The sequence below is a fragment of the Homo sapiens genome, chromosome 17, assembly GCF_000001405.40.
Source record: "Homo sapiens chromosome 17, GRCh38.p14 Primary Assembly".
NCBI lineage: Eukaryota > Metazoa > Chordata > Mammalia > Primates > Hominidae > Homo > Homo sapiens.
Window position 1 is genome coordinate 78,323,667 of NC_000017.11, and position 19,820 is coordinate 78,343,486.

The 19,820-nt window shown below is 52.7% G+C and overlaps 1 long non-coding RNA gene across 2 annotated transcripts in view, besides 7 other annotated features; it reads left to right on the top strand.

Annotated features, from left to right (window-relative positions):
- The window catches only part of LOC105371912 (uncharacterized), a 30,662-nt gene that overhangs the window by 7,951 nt on the left and 2,891 nt on the right, over positions 1 to 19,820 (top strand). The window contains exon 1 of one of the 2 annotated variants that reach the window (NR_188633.1): positions 18,401 to 19,320. The exons of the other annotated variant lie outside the window; for it this stretch is intronic. This is a non-coding gene — a long non-coding RNA (uncharacterized LOC105371912). Of the gene's footprint in view, positions 1 to 18,400; positions 19,321 to 19,820 lie in introns of those variants that run through there. 2 annotated transcript variants of the gene reach the window in all.
- Positions 304 to 845: an enhancer, noted in NCBI's record as "H3K27ac-H3K4me1 hESC enhancer chr17:76320051-76320592 (GRCh37/hg19 assembly coordinates)". NCBI's record gives its function as "activates a minimal SCP1, AML or CMV promoter by ChIP-STARR-seq in naive H9 embryonic stem cells {active_cell/tissue: H9 hESC(naive)}" and the evidence as "EXISTENCE:reporter gene assay evidence [ECO:0000049][PMID:30033119]".
- Positions 846 to 1,389: an enhancer, noted in NCBI's record as "H3K27ac-H3K4me1 hESC enhancer chr17:76320593-76321136 (GRCh37/hg19 assembly coordinates)". NCBI's record gives its function as "activates a minimal SCP1, AML or CMV promoter by ChIP-STARR-seq in naive H9 embryonic stem cells {active_cell/tissue: H9 hESC(naive)}" and the evidence as "EXISTENCE:reporter gene assay evidence [ECO:0000049][PMID:30033119]".
- Positions 1,390 to 1,931: an enhancer, noted in NCBI's record as "H3K27ac-H3K4me1 hESC enhancer chr17:76321137-76321678 (GRCh37/hg19 assembly coordinates)". NCBI's record gives its function as "activates a minimal SCP1, AML or CMV promoter by ChIP-STARR-seq in naive H9 embryonic stem cells {active_cell/tissue: H9 hESC(naive)}" and the evidence as "EXISTENCE:reporter gene assay evidence [ECO:0000049][PMID:30033119]".
- Positions 15,317 to 15,426: a silencer, noted in NCBI's record as "silent region_9058". NCBI's record gives its function as "represses an Ori minimal core promoter by ATAC-STARR-seq in GM12878 lymphoblastoid cells {active_cell/tissue: GM12878}" and the evidence as "EXISTENCE:reporter gene assay evidence [ECO:0000049][PMID:35858748]".
- Positions 17,990 to 18,249: a silencer, noted in NCBI's record as "silent region_9059". NCBI's record gives its function as "represses an Ori minimal core promoter by ATAC-STARR-seq in GM12878 lymphoblastoid cells {active_cell/tissue: GM12878}" and the evidence as "EXISTENCE:reporter gene assay evidence [ECO:0000049][PMID:35858748]".
- Positions 18,460 to 18,569: a silencer, noted in NCBI's record as "silent region_9060". NCBI's record gives its function as "represses an Ori minimal core promoter by ATAC-STARR-seq in GM12878 lymphoblastoid cells {active_cell/tissue: GM12878}" and the evidence as "EXISTENCE:reporter gene assay evidence [ECO:0000049][PMID:35858748]".
- Positions 18,616 to 19,121: an enhancer, noted in NCBI's record as "H3K27ac-H3K4me1 hESC enhancer chr17:76338363-76338868 (GRCh37/hg19 assembly coordinates)". NCBI's record gives its function as "activates a minimal SCP1, AML or CMV promoter by ChIP-STARR-seq in primed H9 embryonic stem cells {active_cell/tissue: H9 hESC(primed)}" and the evidence as "EXISTENCE:reporter gene assay evidence [ECO:0000049][PMID:30033119]".

A 19,820-nucleotide genomic window follows, 5' to 3' on the forward strand; every position in this document is an offset into this window, starting at 1 on the left:
TCTGACTCCCTCTGACTCCTGGGTTCAAGCGATTCTCCTGCCTCAGCCTCCCGAGTAGCTGGGATTACAGGCACCCGCCACCACACCCAGCTAATTTTTGTATTTTTGGTAGAGACGGGGTTCGCCACGTTGGCCAGGCTGGTCTCGAACTCCTGACCTCATGATCCGCCTGCCTCGGCCTCCTAAAGTGCTGGGATTACAGGCATGAGCTGCCGTGCCCGGCTCCAGATGTTGTTCTTTAGAAGAGGCCCCAAAGCCCTCTTCTCTCTCCTTCCTGTGACTGCAGCTGAACTGCCCAGGGTCTCCAGCCAGTGAAAGCCAATGTGGTCATGCTGGCCCCTCCTGAAGGCCTCACTCTATGGGCAAAAGCAGCCCTCTGGTATCAGTCATATGCAGAGCCACCTGCCAGCTGTCACCAGGAGGATGGGGACATGTTTCCTAGGCTGGGGGCAGGGGCAATGCTGAACACTTGCAGAGCAAGTAGGAAGGAAAGAGGGAGAGTGGAAGGAAGGAAGGAAGGGAGGGAGGGAGGGAGGGGAGAGAGAGAGGGAAGGAGAGAGGGAGGAAAGATGGATAGAAGGGTAGAGGGGGGAAGGAATAAAATAAAGAAGGGAGAAAGGAGAGAGGAAGGAAGGAGGAAGTGGGAGAGGAGGGAAGGAGAGAGGAGGGACAGGGCGCCACTTTGTGAGGGGAAGCCGGGCTGAGAAGCGCCACTTGTGTATTTGCTTATTTCTTTGCTCTCCGGTGGAATTTCTCTGTCGTCCCCCCACGTGCCCTTATCTGTCTCCTTGCCATCTCCCTGGCTCTGGCCCCAGATCCAGCTGGGATTGGCAGCCCTGTGCCCACAGGCCCGGTTGCCTTGGCAACGCCCCTTTGTTAGGCACCAGCATCTGAAAATGTCAAACTGTTTCCAGTGGGTCAGACCTGCCTCCCTCCCTTTTTTTCCCCTTCTCCTTTTTCAGTTCCAGTTGCCACTGCCCAAGTTGCAAACTTCCTCTGTCTCCATGGGGATGGAGGAGGGCTGTCTCTCTTTTTCCGTCCCAAACATCTGTCTCTATAAACAGTTGTGTGTGCGGCACCTCCTCCTCCTGGGCCCGGGCTTCGGGGAGGAAGTGCTTTGTTGATCTGGAGGGGGTCGGTTTCCTTGCTCCTCTCTCGGGGCTGGCCCCGGTGCTGGACGGCTGCAGCCGTGGACTCCGGGAGCTCCAGGCATGTGGCCAGTACTCATGGCTCCTCTGGGGCCAGTGTCTGGAGAGAAGGGCAGAGGTTCTGCTCAGTCATCTGGTAGACCTCAGCTTTGCTTTGCTTGCTAGGTTGCCTTAGAGAGGTTACTGAAAGTCTCTGATACCCCTCTGTGCGGCGGGGATTTGTTGAGTGGGTAATGAGCTGATCTACGCAGAGTGTCAGGAGCAATTCCTGGGTCTTTGCGTCAGAACACTCCTGGAGTTCACGCTCCCAGTGATTCTGCACCCTACGGTGAAGATGCCATGATCATACTGCGATGATCAGCCCCCTTTGGGAGAATGTTCAGACTCAGAGAGGTTAATCGGCCCAGGGCTTACAGGGACTTGGTGGCAGAGACAAGATTCCACCCCAGGAGGCAAGCCCAGACATTTTCCAATCCACTGGGACCTCTATCAGAACCCTGGGCCCTCAGTTTGCAAACTGAAAAGCTTAGATTCAGTGACCTCCTTCCCAGCTTGAAACTTCTTTATTTCAGGGAAGAGGGTGGGGCGAGCTAAGAAGCTAGAAGCGTTTTGCCGTGAGCCAAGGACCAAGGACGGGAATGCACGATGTACGAGCGAGGAGTCAGGGACGGGGACTCCGATGGCCGATGACTCAGACCTGCTTTGCCTGGCTGGGGGAACTGGGCCATGGGAAGAACACAGGACTGGCCCCGGCCCAGGCCCAACCCCCGCTTGGCCACGGCGGAGAGCCTGCCCCAGGCCCACCTGGCCGAAGCACCAGCATCATTCCAGGGGCCTCACCCTGCCTAACTCCCAAGTCCATGTCCAACACCTTTTCCTGTGTCCACAATTCTCATGTGGTTCAAAGACGTAGATCCATTACTGTTTCCAGATGATCAAAGCAGCTACCTAATTAACAACCGAGTGAATGTCCAAGTTAGAGCTTTGGCGTTGGAACAGGAAGAACTGGATTTGAATCCAGCTCTACTAATTAGTGGCTGACTTGGATGGGTTAATCTCTCTGACACTTGTTTATATCATCAGTGAAATGAGTGGCAGGGTAACAGGACCCACTGGAGATGATGCCTACAAAGTGCTAGGGGTTTTGCGTGGCAAGTGGCTTCAGAAACAAGGAAAGTACCACTGTTGCGATTATTCAGTTGGCTCAGGCAGGCGGAGGCTGTGCTTCCACATCCCACAGGGCCCTGTGTCCCCAGAGAGCAGGACACGTAGGAATTTGCCATCTCAGTGCAGTGCACAAGGACAGAAGCAAGGGCAGCAGGGGCAGTCAGGCTGCCGGGGCAAGGGGCAAGCTTCTGTCCAAAGCAGAAACACTGGCTGGGCCTTCTTTGGTCCAGCAAACCTGGACCTTGGCAGGAAAATGGGTATAACAACGACCTCAGCTGGCGCTTGCGGGAACCCACGATAGGTGCAGACCCTCAGAGGTGCATGGGGTGTGACTCTCCCTCCACCTCTGTCCAGACCCCAACAATGGGAGAGGGTGGCAGGTTTTCTGGGTGGGGGATAGGAAGCCAGCATCCGAGAACCTGCCCCTGGATGGCAGGAGGCTAGGCCACGTGAAAGCCGAGGCTCCAAGCCCCCTGTGCTGGCTCCATTGTCCCATCAGACTCGACTTACAAATCACAAGTTTCAATTTGAAATTCAATTTCAAATTTTTTTTTTTTTTCAGATGGAGTCTCGCTCTGTCACCCAGGCTGGAGTACAGTGGCATGATTTCAGCTCACTGCAACCTCCGCTTCCCAGGTTCAAGCGCTTCTCCTGCCTCAGCCTCCAGAGTAGCTGGGATTACCGGTACCTGCCACCATGCCTGTCTAGTTTTTGTATTTTTAGTAGAGAGGGGGTTTCACCATGTTAGCCAGGCTGGTCTTGAACTCCTGACCTCAGGTGATCCGCCCACCTTGGCCTCCCAAAGCGCTGGGATTACAGGCATGAGCCACCACGCCTGGCCATATTTTTCTTTCTCTTTTTTTATTTTTGAGATGGAGTCTCGCTCTGTCACCCAGGCTGGAATGCAGTGGCCCAATCTTGGCTCACTGCAACCTCCTGGTTTCAAGCGATCCTCCTGCCTCAGCCTCCAAGTAGCTGGGATTACAGGTGCCCGCCACCATGCCCAGCTAATTTTTATATTTTTAGTAGAGACAGGGTTTCACCATATTGGCCAAGCTGGTCTTGAACTTCCAACCTCAAGTGATCTACCTGCCTCGGCCTCCCAAAGTGCTGGGATTACAGGCGTGAGCCACTGTGCTCAGCCAATTTCAAATTTTTCAAGATAAAATTAAGAATTTCACGGCCGGGCCTGGTGGCTCATGCCTGTAATGCCAGCACTTTGGGAGGCCGAGGTGGGTGGATCACGAGGTCAGGAGTTCGAGACCAGCCTGACCAACATGGTGAAACCCCATCTCTACTAAAAATACAAAAATTAAGCTGGGCGTGGTGGCTCACGCCTATAATCCCAGCACTTTGGGAGGCTGAGGTGGGTGGATCATGAGGTCAGGAGATCAAGACCATCCTGGCTAACACGGTGAAACCCCGTCTCTACTAAAAATACAAAAACAATTAGCCAGAAGTGGTGGCAGGCGCCTGTAGTCCCAGCTACTCGGGAGGCTGAGGCAGGAGAATGGCGTGAACCCGGGAGGCGGAGCTTGCAGTGAGCCGAGATCACACCACTGCACTCCAGCCTGGGCGACAGAGGGAGACTCCGTCTCAAAAAAAAAAAAAAAAAAAATTAGCCAGGCGTGGTGGCGGGCACCTGTAATCCCAGCTACTCAGGAGGCTGAAGCAGGAGACTTGCCTGAATCTGGGAGGCAGAGGTTGCAGTGAGCCGAGATCGCACGACTGCACTCCAGCCTGGGCGACAGGGAGACACTCTGTCTCACCAAAAAAATAAATAAATAAATAATAATTTCAAGGTGACTGTAGAGCATTAAACGCCCAAGCACTGAGTGTGGGGCCCTGCGTGACAGCCCTGCCCCTGAGTATCTAATGTGTGCGTTGACAGCCCTGCCCCTGAGTATCTAATGTGTGCGTGACAGCCCTGCCCCTGAGTATCTAATGTGACTGGCTGTTGTCTCCCGGGATATCTTCCAAGAGACAGAATAACCTGGATCTGAGGATAAATGCCAGGAGGAAGGGAGAATGTATCCATGGTTCCCATCTCCATTAGTCAAAGGTACCTCTACAGTGCCTTCACAGCCCAGGCCTCACTGCGCCTAGCGGCTCCTCAGCGTTTCAGGCTCAGCAGCAGCAGGGACACCACAAGTGGCCAGGTACAGCCTGGAACCCCTCCCAGGGCTGGCCCTAGAGGCAGGTAAAGTGAGGAGCACCTTAGATGGTGCATAAAAAGTGTCCAATGCAAGTGCCTTTCCTGAGGCTGATCACTGTACAGTGATTCTGTAAGAAAATGCCCTTATTTTTAGGAAATGCACACTAAGGCCAGGCGCGGTGGCTCACGCCTGTAATCCCAGCACTTTGGGAGGCCGAGGTGGGTGGATCACTTGAGGCCCAGAGTTCAAGACCAGCCTGGCCAACATGGTGAAACTCCATCTCTACTAAAAATACAAAAATTAGCCGGGTATGGTGGTGGGTACCTGTAATCTCAGCTACATAGGAGGCTGAGGCAGGAGAATCGCTTGAACCCAAGAGGTGAAGTTGCAGTGAGCTGAGATCGTACACTGCACTCCAGGCTGGCGACAGAGTGAGATTCCGTCTCAAAAAAAAATTAGCTTGGCGTGGTGGCATAAGTCTGTAGTCCCAGCTGCTCAGGAGGCTGAGGTGAGAGGATTGCTTGAGCCTCGGAGATCGAAGGTGCAGTGGGCTGTGATAGCACCACCGCACGCCACCCTGGGCAACAGGGCCAGACCCTGTCTCAAAAAATAAATAAATAAATAAGTAAAGAAAGAAAGAAACAAACACACATGGAAGTATTTCGAGGTAAAGAGGCATCACGCCTGTGACTTATGCTGAAATGTCTTAGAAAAAAATTGGGAGAGGGTACTGTGGCTCGCACCTGTAATCCCAGCACTTTGAAAGGCTGAGGCAGGAGGATTGTTTGAGGCCAGGAGTTTGAGACCAGCCTGGGCAGCATAGTGAGACTCTGCCTCTACACACAAAAAAATTAGCTGGCTGTGGTGATTCACACCTGTAGTCCCAGCTATTAAGAGGCTGAGGTGGGAGGATCGCTTGAGCTTGGGAAGTCGAGGCTGCAGTGAGCCTTGATCACACCCACTGCACTTCAGCCTGCAAGACTCTGTCTCAAAACAAAAAACAAAAAAGAAAGAAAAAAATGAGGATAGAGGGAGAGAGAGAAAATTAATACAAATGTGGTAAAATGTTCACATTTGGGGAATCTGGGTGAAGGTTATATGAACATTCTTTGTAGTATTTTTGCAACTTTTCTGTAAGCCTGAAATGATTTCAAAATAAAAAGTTGGGGGTTTTTTTGTTTTGTTTTTAAGGGTATGATGCAACCATTATTGCTGGGGGAGAAAGTACCAGCAAAGAGCCAGTCCTGCTGGCGGTAGGTGGATGGGTGCTGCTGGGAGGACTCTGGGTTCCACAGGAGGAACGTAGCCCAGGGAAAAGGGAGTTACGGGACTGCAGCGCCAGCTCCCCACTCCTGCCACCATTGGGCTCCAGCTTTCCGGCCTTGTGGCCAGTCTTTCCCTTTGGGGGGCCGGTGACTCAGCCACGGGTTCCATGTGGCAGGAAGTGGGCACAGTGACTCACGGGGTGGCTTGGTCCCCTCCTTTGTGGAGGCCGGGATAGCAGCTCAGGCCCCAGGCCAGTGATGGCCTGTAAGAGAGGAGGATTTGCACCCCACAGTGGCAAGCCCCAAGGAGGGCTGCCCTAGATGGTGGGGGGCCTGGAGCACTCAGCTGGGGTGGGGGCCCCGCCTCGCCCTCTTGGGGCCGGCAAAATCTACCCTCTGCCAGCTCTGACCACAGCCTGCAGAGTTTTCCAGCCACTTGTGGGCATGTGCACAGTGCTGGACACTCTGTAAGAATTCCCCACTGTCTGCAAAGCCGGCAACAGCTGCCAAGGTCTCCCACCCTGCTGGCTGCCCCCAGCCATGCACCTTCTCCGGGGGGCCTTGTTAGCACTCAGCAGGCATGCAGACCGCCAAAGGCTCAGTTCCCTGGGGCCCAGCCGCTTCCAGGCTGTTCAGGCTCAAGTTCCACTGGTTGGTGCCAGTGACTTGTCTACTGTCTCATCGGTAGGCTCAAAACTAACACCTTTAGAACTGTTCGTGATTGAGGCTAGATGCGGTGGCTCACGCCTGTAGTCTCAGCACTTTGGGAGGCCGAGACAGGTGGATCAGTTGAGCTCAGGAGTTAGAGAGCAGCCTGGGCAACACAGTGAGACCCCATCTCTACAAAAAATATTTTAAAAAATTAGCTGGGCATGGTGGCGGGCGCCTATAGTCCCAGCTACTTGGGAGGCTGAGGCAGGAGAATGGCGTGAACCCGGGAGGTGGAGCTTGCAGTGAGCCGAGGTCACACCACTGCACTCCAGCCTGGGAGACAGAGCAAGACTCCATCTAAAAAAAAAAAAAAGAACAGGTAGTGAATGAACCCTGCTGCTTAGGGGACGAGACTATGTCCCTCCTCTAAGACGTCCTGACCTCTGCAACTTCTCTTCTGCAGACTCCAGGAGCACTTAGGGCCGGGGTTGCTCCCTTTAACGTTAAGGCCGTGCTCACATTTGGTGGGAGGATGACCCAGTGCTTGTACATCTGCTGTTTCACATCCTCACAACAGAGAAGGAAACTAAGGCTCAGAGAGGTTCAGGAACTTGCCTGAGGTCACACAGCATGAAGTGGTGAAGTCGGGATTTGAACTCAGGCCTTCCTGACTCCCACGTTGGTCCTGCCCATATCCCACCTCAGGATGGCTGTGCTGTGCATTTTGACAGTTAATGGGCGTTCACCTCGCTGGATGGCAAATCTGGCAGGCTGGCCAGGACTGCGGCCTCCTCACTTTCTAAAGCCGTCCTGGCAGCCCCTGACATATCAGGAGTGTTCAGGCATGACTCACAAGTGGACTGAGTGCCCGATGGGTTCAAATCCTCTGCAGGTGGCTCTGGGCAAAGCACCAGCCTCTGCAGCAAACCCTGCCCCATCCCAGTGGAGCCTCCTGCCCCTCCCTCTTACCCCCACGGCTCCTTGTCAACAAACACTGGGCAGATCCCTTCCTCCACTACCACGTGCCGGCTCCTGTCTCCCGGATTCTCCCTTGCAGGCCTCGCCGTCTCTCTCTGGCCTCCCTTTTCCTGATCTGTTCATAACTTTCCTCCTCCTGTGTGTTTCCCTTTGCTCCTCTCTCTCTTTCTTTTCTTTTTTTCTTTTTGTTTTTGTTTTTGTTTTGTTCTGTTTTTGAGACCGAGTCTTGCTCTGTTGCCCAGGCTGGAGTGCAGTGGTGCCATCTCGACTCACTGCAACCTCTGCCTCCCGGATTCAAGCGATTCTCCTGCCTCAGTTCCCTGAGTAGCTAGCTGAGATTACAGGTGCACGTCACCATGCCCAGTTAATTTTTTTTTTTTTTTTTTTGTATTTTTGTAGAGATGGAGTTTCGCCATGTTGGCCAGGCTAAACTTGAACTCCTGACCTCAAGTGATCCGCCCACCTAGGCCTCCCAAAGTGCTAGGATTACAGGCGTGAACCACTGCACCCAGCCTGTTTTTGTTTGTTTGGTTTTGAGACAGTCTCGCTCTGTTGCCCAGGCTGGAGAGCAGTGGCGTGATCTCCGCTTACTGCAACCTCCGCCTCCCAGGTTCAAGCAATTCTCCTGCCTCAGCCTCCTGAGTACCTGGGATTACAGGCACCCGCCAGCATACCTGACTAATGTTTTTGTTGTTTGGCCGGGCACGGTGGCTCACGCCTGTAATCCCAGCACTTTGGGAGGCTGAGGCGGGCGGATCACGAGGTCAGGAGATCGAGACCATCTCTGGCCAACACAGTGAAAGCTCATCTCTACTAAAAATACAAAATAATTAGCTGGGCGTGGTGGTGGGCGCCTGTTGTCCCAGCTACTCGGGAGGCAGAGGCAGGAGAATGGCGTGAACCCGGAAGGCAGAGCTTGCAGTGAGCTGAGATCGCGCCACTGCACTCCAGTCTGGGTGACAGAGCGAGACTCCGTCTCAAAAAAAAAAAAAAATGTTTTTGTTGTTTGAAACGGATTTGCTTTGTCACCCAGGCTGGAGTGCAGTGGCATGATCTTGGCTCACTGCAACCTCCGCCTGCGAGGCTCAAGTGATCCTCATCTTGACTCTCTCATCTTGGCCTCAGCAGCCTAAGGAGGGACCGCAGATGCTGGGATTACCGCACCCGGCCCTCTTTCTCTCTTTCGAGTTCCCTTTCTGCTCCCCCTTGGCCTTCCCTCGATCCCCTTCCTCCTCTGTGTTGTCATCAGGCTGCTGTTACGAGTCCAATGTGGTCCCCCTCCTGTGTGCCAGTGCTGGGTCCACCCCTACTGACGGCACCTGCAGGACGAGGGTCACCACTTTGCTGGGTCACTTCCCATTTCCTCTGTGCTTCCAATGAGCTGGTGGGGATCCTGGGGTTGTCCCATCCAGCGTCCCTAGTGGTACCTCCCGAAGTCTGGTGTTTTTGAGTGGACGGCCCCGGGGGTTCAGAGTGACTCTTCCTCACCTGGTCTGTGTGATGAGGCAGTGAACACCCCAGGGGAGAGGCTCTTTGGAGGCTGGAAAAGATGCCCCTCTGAGAATCCGGTACTTGGAGGGCTCTTGGTGAATGATGTTTTTCTTTTCCGTCACTGTACTGAGTTGAAATCGGCCTCCTGGAAAGTTATTTCCCTGTGTTCTTTGATCTGGGTGAGGGAAGCCATCTCCCTGACTAGCTGACAGTCACTTGATCGTCAACTAGCTGGTGAACCTCGTCATAGCTTCTCTCTCTCCTGTAAATAACCTGGGTTCCATCAGCTGCTCCCACGGCTCTGAGCCTCAGACCCCTTTCCCTGCCTTTCTGTCCTCCTCGAAGGCCCCCCAGTCCTGAGACATCTGGGTAACCTGATTGCTGGACTCGATTTTCAATCCTGTTCAATTTCATCTGAGTCGTTCAACCTGTGGGTCTAGCCTATCATCCTTCTGGGGGTTACTCTCCAGTGTTATCTGCAAATCCAATCACATCATGGTCTTCATTCAAGTCATTGATAAAAACGTTAACTAGGACATGGTCTAGGTCACAGCCCTGTGGCACATCTCTGGAGACTTACTTCTAGATGAGCACTGGTTTACTTATCAACGGCCTTTTGTTTTGTTTTTAGTGAATCTTTCTACCTGCCACCGCCGCATTAAACTGTTTTCTAGGCTACTTTGTTTCCTGTCTTGTGTAAGGCTATCACAGGAAGTTGAATGTTCTGTGAAATCAAGGTATTCTATACCCATAGCATTTCCATGATCTGAAAATCTTGTCAAAGGAAAAAGGAGTTACTTAGGCCAGAGGTGCAAATAGGGTTTTGTTTTGTTTTTACCTTTGAAAAAATGATGATTTGTATATTCCTGCATTTGTTTTATGAAAATACCAAAATACAGATAAAGGAAAAAAGAATCTGAAAGCATTCTAAAACCCTCTATGCAGAGATAAGCACTTCAAACATTTTGGTATGTATTTCTGGAAGTTTCTTTTTTTTTTTTTTTTTTTTTTGAGATGGAGTTTCGCTCTTTCGCCCAGGCTGGAGTGAAGTGGCGCAATCTCGGCTCACTGCAACCTCTGCCCCCCGGGTTCAAGCGATTCTCCTGCCTCAGCCTCCCGAGTACCTGGGACTACAGGTGTGTGCCATACACCTGGCTAATTTTTGTATTTTTAGTAGAGATGAGGTTTCATAATGTTGGCCAGGTTGGTCTCAAACTCCTGACCTCAGGTGATCCACCTGCCTCGGCCACCCAGAGTGCTAGGAGTGAGCCACTGCAGACTGCCATTTCTGGAAATTTCTAAAAGCATCTCGAACTACATATACCAAAAACTCATAAAAATGCAATCAGTCTCTAAATACTCTTTTGTTATCTGCTTTTCTCATTTACTCATATTTCATGACTATCTTCACATGTGATTGAATATATATATGTACAGCTACATAAACTGTTTCTATTAGCTGGGTGGTATTGCATTATGTGGACATATCCTATTCAACAGATCCCATATTACTGGATTCCATTTTTTTGTCTTTATAAGCATTGTTATATATGCCTGTTATGAACATGTCTGGCTCCTTCCCTGAAATACGTTCAGATGCTATAGTCAGCCTTTTTCTAACTATTCAAGACCTATTTCTCCCTTGAATCCCTGTAGCTTTTTTTTTTTATCTGTGCTTTTTTGGTAAGCATATTTTCCACTACAATAATTATGTCCTGTCGCTGGCCAGGTGCAGTAGCACGCCTGTAATCCCATCACTTTGGGAGGCTGAGGCGGGCAGATCACGAGGTCAGGAGATCAAGACCATCCTGGCTAACAGGGCGAAACCCCATCTCTACTAAAAAAAAATACAAAAAAATTAGCCGGGCATGGTGGCAGGCGCCACCAGTAGCTCCCAGCTACTCGGGAGGCTGAGGCAAGAGAATGGCGTCAACCTGGGAGGAGGAGCTTGCAGTGAGCCGAGATCATGCTACTGCACTCCAGCCTGGGTGACAGAGCGAGACTCCGTCTCAAAAAAAATAAATAAATGAAATAAATAAAATAAAATTAATTATGTCCTGTCATCTCCCTGCTTGTAGCTACTAAGATCCCTTAGGAAAGATCCCATCCTGATTTAAGATTGCATCCCTAATACCTATAACACAATAACTTGCACTTACGGACATGCCATAGATATTTGTTGACTAAGGGCAAGAATATATGAATTTGTTTAGTGATTCACTGCAGTGTTTTGTGGGTGAGTAACATAGTCGTGAGTTTCTAGTTTCCCCAGTCTAGTTTCTGGCCCACAGTGGCCTTGTTTGTCATCTTTCTGTCCCTCTCCTCATCTCAGGCCAAGGGTGAAAGCCAGCAAGAGTCCGGGGCTGGCATCTACCCAGACAGCGTCTCACTCTGCTGCCCAGCCCACTTTCAAGTCAATGTGGAGCTTCCCAGCTCGCCCTCCCCATCCTGGATTTCAGATCCCTCCTACCCTCACCCTACTTTCTCTCGGAGTTTGACAGGGGAGCAGGTAGAACCTGGGGCAGATCTGCATTCCCCTGGGAGATGCTTCAAGCAGTGGCAGGGTCTTAGCCTCTGAGCTGCTCCCTGGTAGGAAGGAAGCAACTGCCCCTGGTCTGTGTTGGGAGATGGACAGAGCTTTAGGATGGACAGGCGTTGGGGATGCACCAGTACACATAGGCGCTCAATAACGGTGGTCTTTATTCTCTTTCCTCTTCTGTCATCTGACACGATTCGGTCTTCTCAGCTAAGGACTGGGTCTGTCCTTCGCTCGTCCTTGTAGCCGTGACTACAACCTTCCAAGCCATTTTTGTTTTCTTAGAGGTTTTATTGGGAGCTGAGGGTTAATAGCACCCCAGCCCCTCCCATCAGGCTCAAGGGGCTCTTTTGCCTTCACTTGTGGTTGAGAGTCCTCCCTCCCTCCTGCCCTCTTCTCTGTCCTTTTGAAATATGAGCTCAGCTCCCTAGAAGGTATCAGTGCTTTATTTTGTACCCCTACCAACTTTCTTTCTCTTTTTTTTTTTTTCGAGACGGAGTTTCACTGTTGTCGCCCAGGCTAGAATGCAATGGCGTGATCTCGGCTCACTGCAGCCTCCACCTCCTGGGTTCAAGCAATTCTCCTGCCTCAGCCTCCCGAGTAGCTGGGATTACAGGCGTGCACCACCATACCCAGCTAATTTTTTCTATTTTTAGTAGAGACGGGGTTTCTCCAGGTTGCTCAGGCTGGTGTCGAACTCCTGACCTCAGGTGATCCACCCGCCTGGGCCTCCCAAAGTGCTGGGATTACAGGCATGAGCCACCATGCCTGGCCTCTTTCTCATAGAAATCTTTTGTGATTGAATTGTCTGAATTGTGGATTTTTTTTGGTCTACCTTACCATTTTCCTTTTTAGAACCTACAGCTTTCTTTTTTTGGCCAGCATTTCTTTTTGGAGAAATTTCCCCTAAAGTATAGGGTACCTATGTGATAATTTCCAGTATCTCTTCCTGAGCTATTATAAACTCACAGGGAATCATCCTGTATGAAGAGTGACCCCACAATGAAATTCCTTTCCTGGGGTTCAAACAATAGACTTAAAAAAAAATTTAAGACACAGGGTCTTAGGTCGGGCATGGTGGCTCACGCCTGTAATCCCAGCTACTAGGGAGGCTGAGGCAGGAGAACCACTTGATGGAGGTTGCAGTGAGTAGAGATGAAGCCACTGCACTCCAGCCTGGGTGACAAAGCCAGACCCCATCTGGCCAGACCGCCATCGGGAGATGGAGGTTGTAGTGAGCCGAGATCCTGCCACTGCACTCCAGCCTGGGCTACAGAGCCAGATCCCATCCCGCCCCACCCCCCCAAAAAAAGAGAGAGAAAGACAGAGAGACAGGGTCTGGCTCTGTCACCCAGGCTACAGTGGATTGACTTGATCGTAGCTCACTCACTGCAGCCTTGAAGTCCTGGGCTCAAGTGATCCTCCTGCCTCGGCCTCCTGAGTACCTGGAACTACAGGCACCAGCCGGTGTGCCCTGCTCAAGCAGTAGACTTTCCCTTGGAATAAAGACCATTATAATCCCCTCCACCAACTCTCGCAAAGCCATAGTTTGCCAGAGCCATTACTGAACTTTTTGACAAGGCAATCAGCTCAAATGCACCCAAACAGGTTCGGGATTCCTGAACTCAGCCCAGGCTTCATTGATGATACCTAACACGCCTGACTCTATAAGCGGCTGACTTTTAAAATAATAACTTTTTTTTTTTTCTTTTTGAGATGGAGTCTCACTCTGTTGCTCAGGCTGGAGCGTAATGGCATGATCTCAGGCTCACTGCAACCTCCTCCTCTTGGGTTCAAGTGATTCTCCTGCTTCAGCCTCCCAAATAGCTGGGATTACAGGCGCCCACCACTATGCACAGCTAATCTTTTGTATAAAATAATGACTTTTAAAATAATCCAATACAATAAGATCTATTAAGCACCTAGTACATAACTATGAACCAGGGATTGGGGAGAGAAAGGAGGAAGGAGATTTGATCTCACCCTCGAAGGGTTTAGAATCTCTCCACTAAGATTTTTAGGAGTTAGAGTTGGAAACTTCACAATCTAAAGTGAAGAAAGACGAACAGGGTAAAACTCAAGACAGTTTTTGTAAAAAGAAATGTAAAACTGTTTGCCTTCCTGTTTCTTCGTCAGGGATAAGTAATTTCCAGTCATCCCATCCATTAAACAAATATGTATTAAGAAAGAAAAACAGTCCAGGAGCCTACTGCGGGCACAACCGGGGTGCACAGAACCCATCTCGGGAGGCTGGCTCTGCCCCTTGAGAAAGTTCAAGATGAAGGGGATGCCAAGGCCAGAGGCAAATGTCCAGCCCTCACTAGCGGGGATCACCTCGAGTTCCACGCGAGGGGCTCAGGGTTGGGTAATCGAGAGTGGAAAGCTCTGGAAAAACCCTAATACCCCTGTTGCAACATTCTAGGAAAATGGTCTGTCTATTGAATAAGAGTGAGTCACCATGGGAAAGTTGGGGCGGTCAACACTACCCCGCACTGCTCATCCCCATTCTTTGGCTCCTAGTGATGCTCCGGTCACCCTCTGGGGGCCATGGGGAGGAGGCAGTGACGCCGTGATCCGGAATTTCAACGAGACATATGCAAATGGCCCAATGGGCTGTGAAGGAAGTTCAGAGACAGGAGGATGAGGCAGCTCAGTGTTTCTAACCCACAAAGCAGAAGTGAGAATGGGTGAGAATTCCCAGTCACCTTCCCCTTCTCCTTTCCCTTCTCACTCTACCCCAACCCTACTCCCTGTGTGGGCCCTCTGCCCCTTCCCTGTTCAGAAATGAGATCACTGGGTGGGTGCAGTGGCTCATGCCTGTAATCCCAGCACTTCAGAAGGCCGAAGCCGGAGGATCACTTAAGGCCAGGAGTTCAAGACCAGCCTGGGCAACATAGTGAGACCCCCGTCTCTGCAAAAAAATTAAAATCAGCCAGGCGTGGTAGTGCACACCTGTGGTTCTAGCTACTTGAGAGGCTGAGGTTGGGGGATCACTTGAACTCAGGAGGTTGAGACTGCAGTGAGCTATGATCACACCATTGCACTCCAGCCTGGGTGACAAAGTGAGACCCTGTCTCTTTTTTGCTTGAGATGGAGTCTTGCTCTGTCGCCCAGGCTGGAGTGCAGTGGCTCAATCTTGGCTCACTGCAACTTCCGCCTCCCGGGTTCAAGCAATTCTCCTGCCTCAGATCTCCCCAGTGGCTGGGACTACAGATGCAAGCCACCACGCCTGGCTAATTTTTGTAATTTTAGTAGAGATGGGGTTTCACCATGTTGGCCAGGCTGGTCTTGAACAGGTGATCCACCTGCCTCAGCCTCCCAAATTCCTGGGATTACAAGCATGAGCCACCATGTCCAGCTGACCCTGTCTCTTAAAAAAGAAATTGAGATCTCTGACTTTTACCCAATTACCCAAGTCTGTCAAAGTACCCATCTGTAAAAGAAACCAGCCTTGTAAGGTTCCTTTCAACTCCAGAATTGAGGAGTGGGTTTGGGGGCAGTCAGAGGGGGGTGCTGGTGAGCAGGTGACAGGAGAAGGAAGAATCTCCAGTTGAGCCCCCACTATGTGTCAGGCCAGGAACCCAGGGACCTCACCAGAGCCCTCTGTAGAGGTCAGCATCCTCGTTTTACAGATGACACAATGACAGCCTAGTCGGAGGATGATGACACCAGGATCTGACCCAGTCTTCCCAGGCTCCCCCCCCCAACTGGAAGCCCCCCAAGATTGAGCAGACATATTCTTTCAGGAAACACCACCACTCTGGTTTATTTCAGCTGCAGGTCTGATCTCCATAACAGAAGCACACCTGAAAAATACTGCCTTAGCCGCTGAATTTTGATAGAGCAATTCTATATTCCTGGTAACTTCCTCTGTAATTAATCGTCAATTGATTACTCCGTCACTTACATGTGAGTGTGAAGGCGCTGGCTTCTTTGTCAGGAAGTGAACTCTCTATTGACGAATGAGTCAAAGCACTGGGCGGCTGTTACTTATTCATGAAGGAGGGCATTGGCGCGTTTAGGTTTCCCCTCACCTGTCCAGCACGCCCTGAAAGATTGTAGTACAGAGTCCTGGGGAGAAAGTGGTTTCCTGCCTCTCCCTGGGCTCATATTTGAATGGTACTTTCTTTCTCTCTCTCTCAGCAGACTAGGCTCCTCTCAGCAGATTTCCATCCCAAGTTTGGGTAGCTCTTGCCAAACCTTTTAACCCGTATTCTACAGCAATAATCCAAGTTATAAATAAAACTATTCAATTCAGCTATCTAGTTAATTAAAGAATTAGTAGCCACTTGTGGATAATATTTATTTTTCTGGGCAGTGAACTGAGTTAGTTGGACTGGGCATGGGGATGAGTTCAATATTTTATTAATTTTCCTTGAGGATAGCTATATATTTAGTACACATGTAATACAATGTATTAGTGTGATAACTTTTTTTTTTTTTTTTTTTGAGATGGAGTCTCACTCTGTCACCCAGGCTGGAGTGCAGTGGCACGATCTCAGCTTACTGCAACCTCTGCCTCCTGGGTTCAAGCAATTCTCATGCCTCAGCCTCCTGAGTAGCTGGGACTACAGGTGGACCCCACCATGCCTGGCTAATTTTTGTATTTTTAGTAGAGATGGGGTTTCACCATGTTGGCCAGACTGGTCTCAAACTCATGGCTTCATGTGATCCTCCCACCTCTGCCTCCCAAAGTGCTGAAATTACAGGCAACAGCCACCTCGCTCAGTCAACTTTCTTTAAAAAGGAAGGATGACTGGGCACAGTGGCTCATGCCTGTAATCACAGCACTTTAGGAGGCTAAGGCGGGAGGATGGCTTGAGCCCAGGAGTTCGAGACCAGTGTAAGCAACATAGGGAGACCCCCCCCCCACCCCCACCGTCTCTACAAAAAAATAGAAAAATTAGCCAGGTGTGGTGGCACATGCCTGTAGTCCCAGCTATTCAGGAGGTTGCGGCAGGAGGATCCATTGAGCCTAGGGGGCAGGGGCTGCAATGAGCTATGATCATGCCACTGCACTCCAGCCTGGGTGACAGAAGGAGACCCTGCCTCAAAAACAAAAGGAAGCTAAGGGGTGTAAACTGCCTGGGGAAGACTCTCTGGGGTCATAGAGAGTGGGTTTAGGATCTGGGGGACATTCTCTGTGGCCAGTCAGTCAGGGTGCTGGCCTGACTGCTCAACAAGCTTCTTAATGACTCTAAACCTCAGATTCTTCGTTTGAAAACCAGGCAGATGAGCTCAGAGAACTGCTGTGTGGATTCCCCCTCCCAGTTCCAGTGTGGCAGAGTCCTGGCAAGATAGAGTCTACCTAGAGCTGCTCAGAAATGCAGCATCTCATGGCCCACCCCAGCCAGATGAATCAGTCTGCAGTTTAACAAGATCCAGGTGATTGGTGCTGACGTGAAAGTTTGAGAGGCCAGGCTAAATAACATGACATATGTAAAACACCTGGCAGAGAGTGGGCATGGATGGGCGTCAGCTGCCCTCCTCCTCTCCCCCGAGCATCCTCAGACACCATCCCAGGGAGATCTTTTGCTTGGGAGGGAGAGATGTGGGTTGGATTGTGGGTGAAATGTGGGCGACCTGCATTCTCATGGTGCAGCACATATTTTGTCTCCTTGCAATCATTGATGTGGGCCAGACTGCAAAGTGTGGCCCCTAGGAGTTCAGCATATGGTCCTAAGGTTACAGGGTGAACCCAAGGCGACCAGGGCCACGTATGCAAGTACCCACAGCTTCTTCCACCAAGCCGCCACCACCCGTGGATGTGGTCACTCACTCTGGTGGGGCAAGGGGGCAAGAGGGCAGCTGGACCTCTAGTCCTCATATGGGTTTGCTGGTTGTATGTAAAAAGCCCCTTAGGGGCTGGTGTCCGCAATGTGATACTGAATGTGATGGTTTAACAGCTTTCATGACACACCCATTTTGGAAGCAGCCATCCTGTGCTGGGCACTGCGGATTCAACACAGACCAAATGGACCCATGGCAGGAAGGTCGTTAGAGTTAGGATGGGCAGAGAAGTAGCACATGGGGACAAGGGCTGAACCCAGGTCAGCACAGGGTGTTGGGAAGACCACCCTAGAAAGGAAGTGGGGGCCGGGCGCGGTGGCTCATGCCTGTAATCCCAGCACTTTGGGAGGCCGAGGCAGGCCGATCACTTGAGGTCAGGAGTTCGAAACCACCCTACCCTGGTCAACATGGTGAAACCCCATCTCTACTAAAAATACAAAAACTAGCCAGGTATGGTGGCGCGTGCCTGTAGTCCCAGCTACCCGGGAAGCTGAGGCAGGAGAATCGCCTGAACCGGGGAGGTAGAGGTTGCAGTGAGCTGAGATAGTGCCACTGCACTCCAGCCTGGGCAACAGAGCGAGGCCCTGTCTAAAAAAAAAATAATAAATAAAATAAAATAAAATAAATCAAGAAAAAGAAGGAAGTGGGGCCCAGGGCGGACAGGCTCAGGGCAAGGCACCTGCCCGGAGGGCACTGGGGTAGGGCACCGGATGGCCTTAGCCTCTGGACATTCTCAGCGACCTGGCACTAGGGAATGTTCCTGGCCTAAGGAAGGACCTGGGTCTGGCCAAAAAGGCGAGAGAGCTAGGCGCGGCCTGGGAGGAAGGTGCGGCGCTGGGGAGGGAGGGGAGCCCTGCCCTGGTGTGCCCTCGGTCCCGCGCCGCACACCCTGCCGGGAAGCCCGGGGCCGCAGCTGCTCGGGCGGCCCGGCCCAGAATAGCCTCCCTTCCGGGCAGGGCTGCCCCGGCCCGCAGCGCCAGCGCCCGAAATAGGGCTCGGCCGGGTGGCGGGCGCCAGGGGCCGCCCCAGCTGCAGGACTCGCCGGGGAGCCGGGGCCCGCGCGTGGACCGGGAGGGGCTGCGGGGTGCGGGCCCGGCCCTGGGACGCGAGGACCCGGGTGGGCGGGTCCGCGGGCGGGGTGGGGGCGGGGCGCGGGGCCGGGACCGGGATCCCGGGCGCGGGGCCAGCCCGAGGCGGGTGGAGCCGGGCGCTGACCTCACAGCCCGCGAGGAAGCCCGTCGGGGCCGGCGGGGCTGATGGAAGGCCTGAGGAATTCGCAGCCGGCGGCGCGGCCGGGCGCGTTCCCTTCCCCTCTCTCCGTTGCCCGGCGAGGGAGCCACAGCGCAGCGGTTGCCATGGCCACGGGCCGGGCGTGGGGCTGGGGGACCAGGGGCCGCTGAGCCTCGATCACCTTGTCCTGCTCGAGCCAGGTTGGCATGGACTGGAAGAACCCCGCGGCGGCGGGCGGGAGGTGCTGGGGCCAGGGGAGGCCCCGAGGGACCCCGCCGCCCGGTCTGCGCCCTGATCCCGCAGGGTCCTGTGGAAATGCGGTGTCTGCCTCCCCGCCTCCTGCGCTCACACATGCAGGCCTGGGGCCTGCGGGTCCCGGGGCTCTGAGCCTGCACAGCCCACGGGCCGCAGCCGCAGGCCCCGCACTGGTAGCTTAGGTGGACACGGAGGCTGAGGGGGAGTTTCCAAGGGGCCTGGCCTCACGCTCTGCCCGTCACAGCCGCCACCCCTCACCGGCCCTCCACCCACCCCTAACTCCTTAACCTCTCCCGGCCTCGGTTTCCTCACCTATTAACTAGAGATTAGTCATAGCTACCATCCAGGCTTGTTATATTAAAATAGAATAATTATGTAATGTGCCGTGTGCACTCCAAACGCGGTCCTCTTTCCCTGTCCCACACCTCCTTCCTCCTGCATCAGGCCTGGGGAGGGGGGCGTGCCGATGTCACCCCCAACCCCCAGGCCTAGAGTCCTGGACACATGGACGCCCCTGCCAGAGCTCCCCTCCCCGCGCTTGGGGTTACTTTGAACCCCGCCTCCTACAAGAGGATGGTCCAGCCTATTGTCGGAACCTGCAGGAATCCCAGGCTGCGACCCAAGAATATTAGCGGAGGCCCAGCCTGGCTGGGGTGAGTCAGCCTCTCCTCCCAAATTCAGTTGCGGCTTCAGCTGCCCTGTGCAGCTGGGGCTGCTAAGTTGCCAGCAAGAGGCAGCCTCTGAAAATCTCTGGAAAGACCAGCATGTCCTTGGGGTGGGATTCAGAGCACAGTGGGGTGGGGGAGGGTTGAGAAGGGGTCTTGATCCCCCTTCTCTTCCTCTAGGGGAGCCGAGGCTTGGGACCAGGGAAGCAGCGGTACCCCATGTGGGGAAGGGCGGGCCTGACTTACTGTAACTTCCTGGCCCAAAGCCTGATTGTCCTGTGGTTGGGCTGCCCGGCCAGAGAGGCCCCTGGTGTAGGGAGGACTCAGAGAGAACTTGCCTCCCGTTGCCAGGGCCCAGTGTGTGTGTACTGGGGGGCGGAGGGGCTGTGCTGTCACTGATTTCCTGAGACAGCTAGTAGACCAGATGAGGCTGCCTGGAAGGTGGCTCCTCTTCCCTAAGCAGGTTGGGCCACTACCTAAATGCCAGG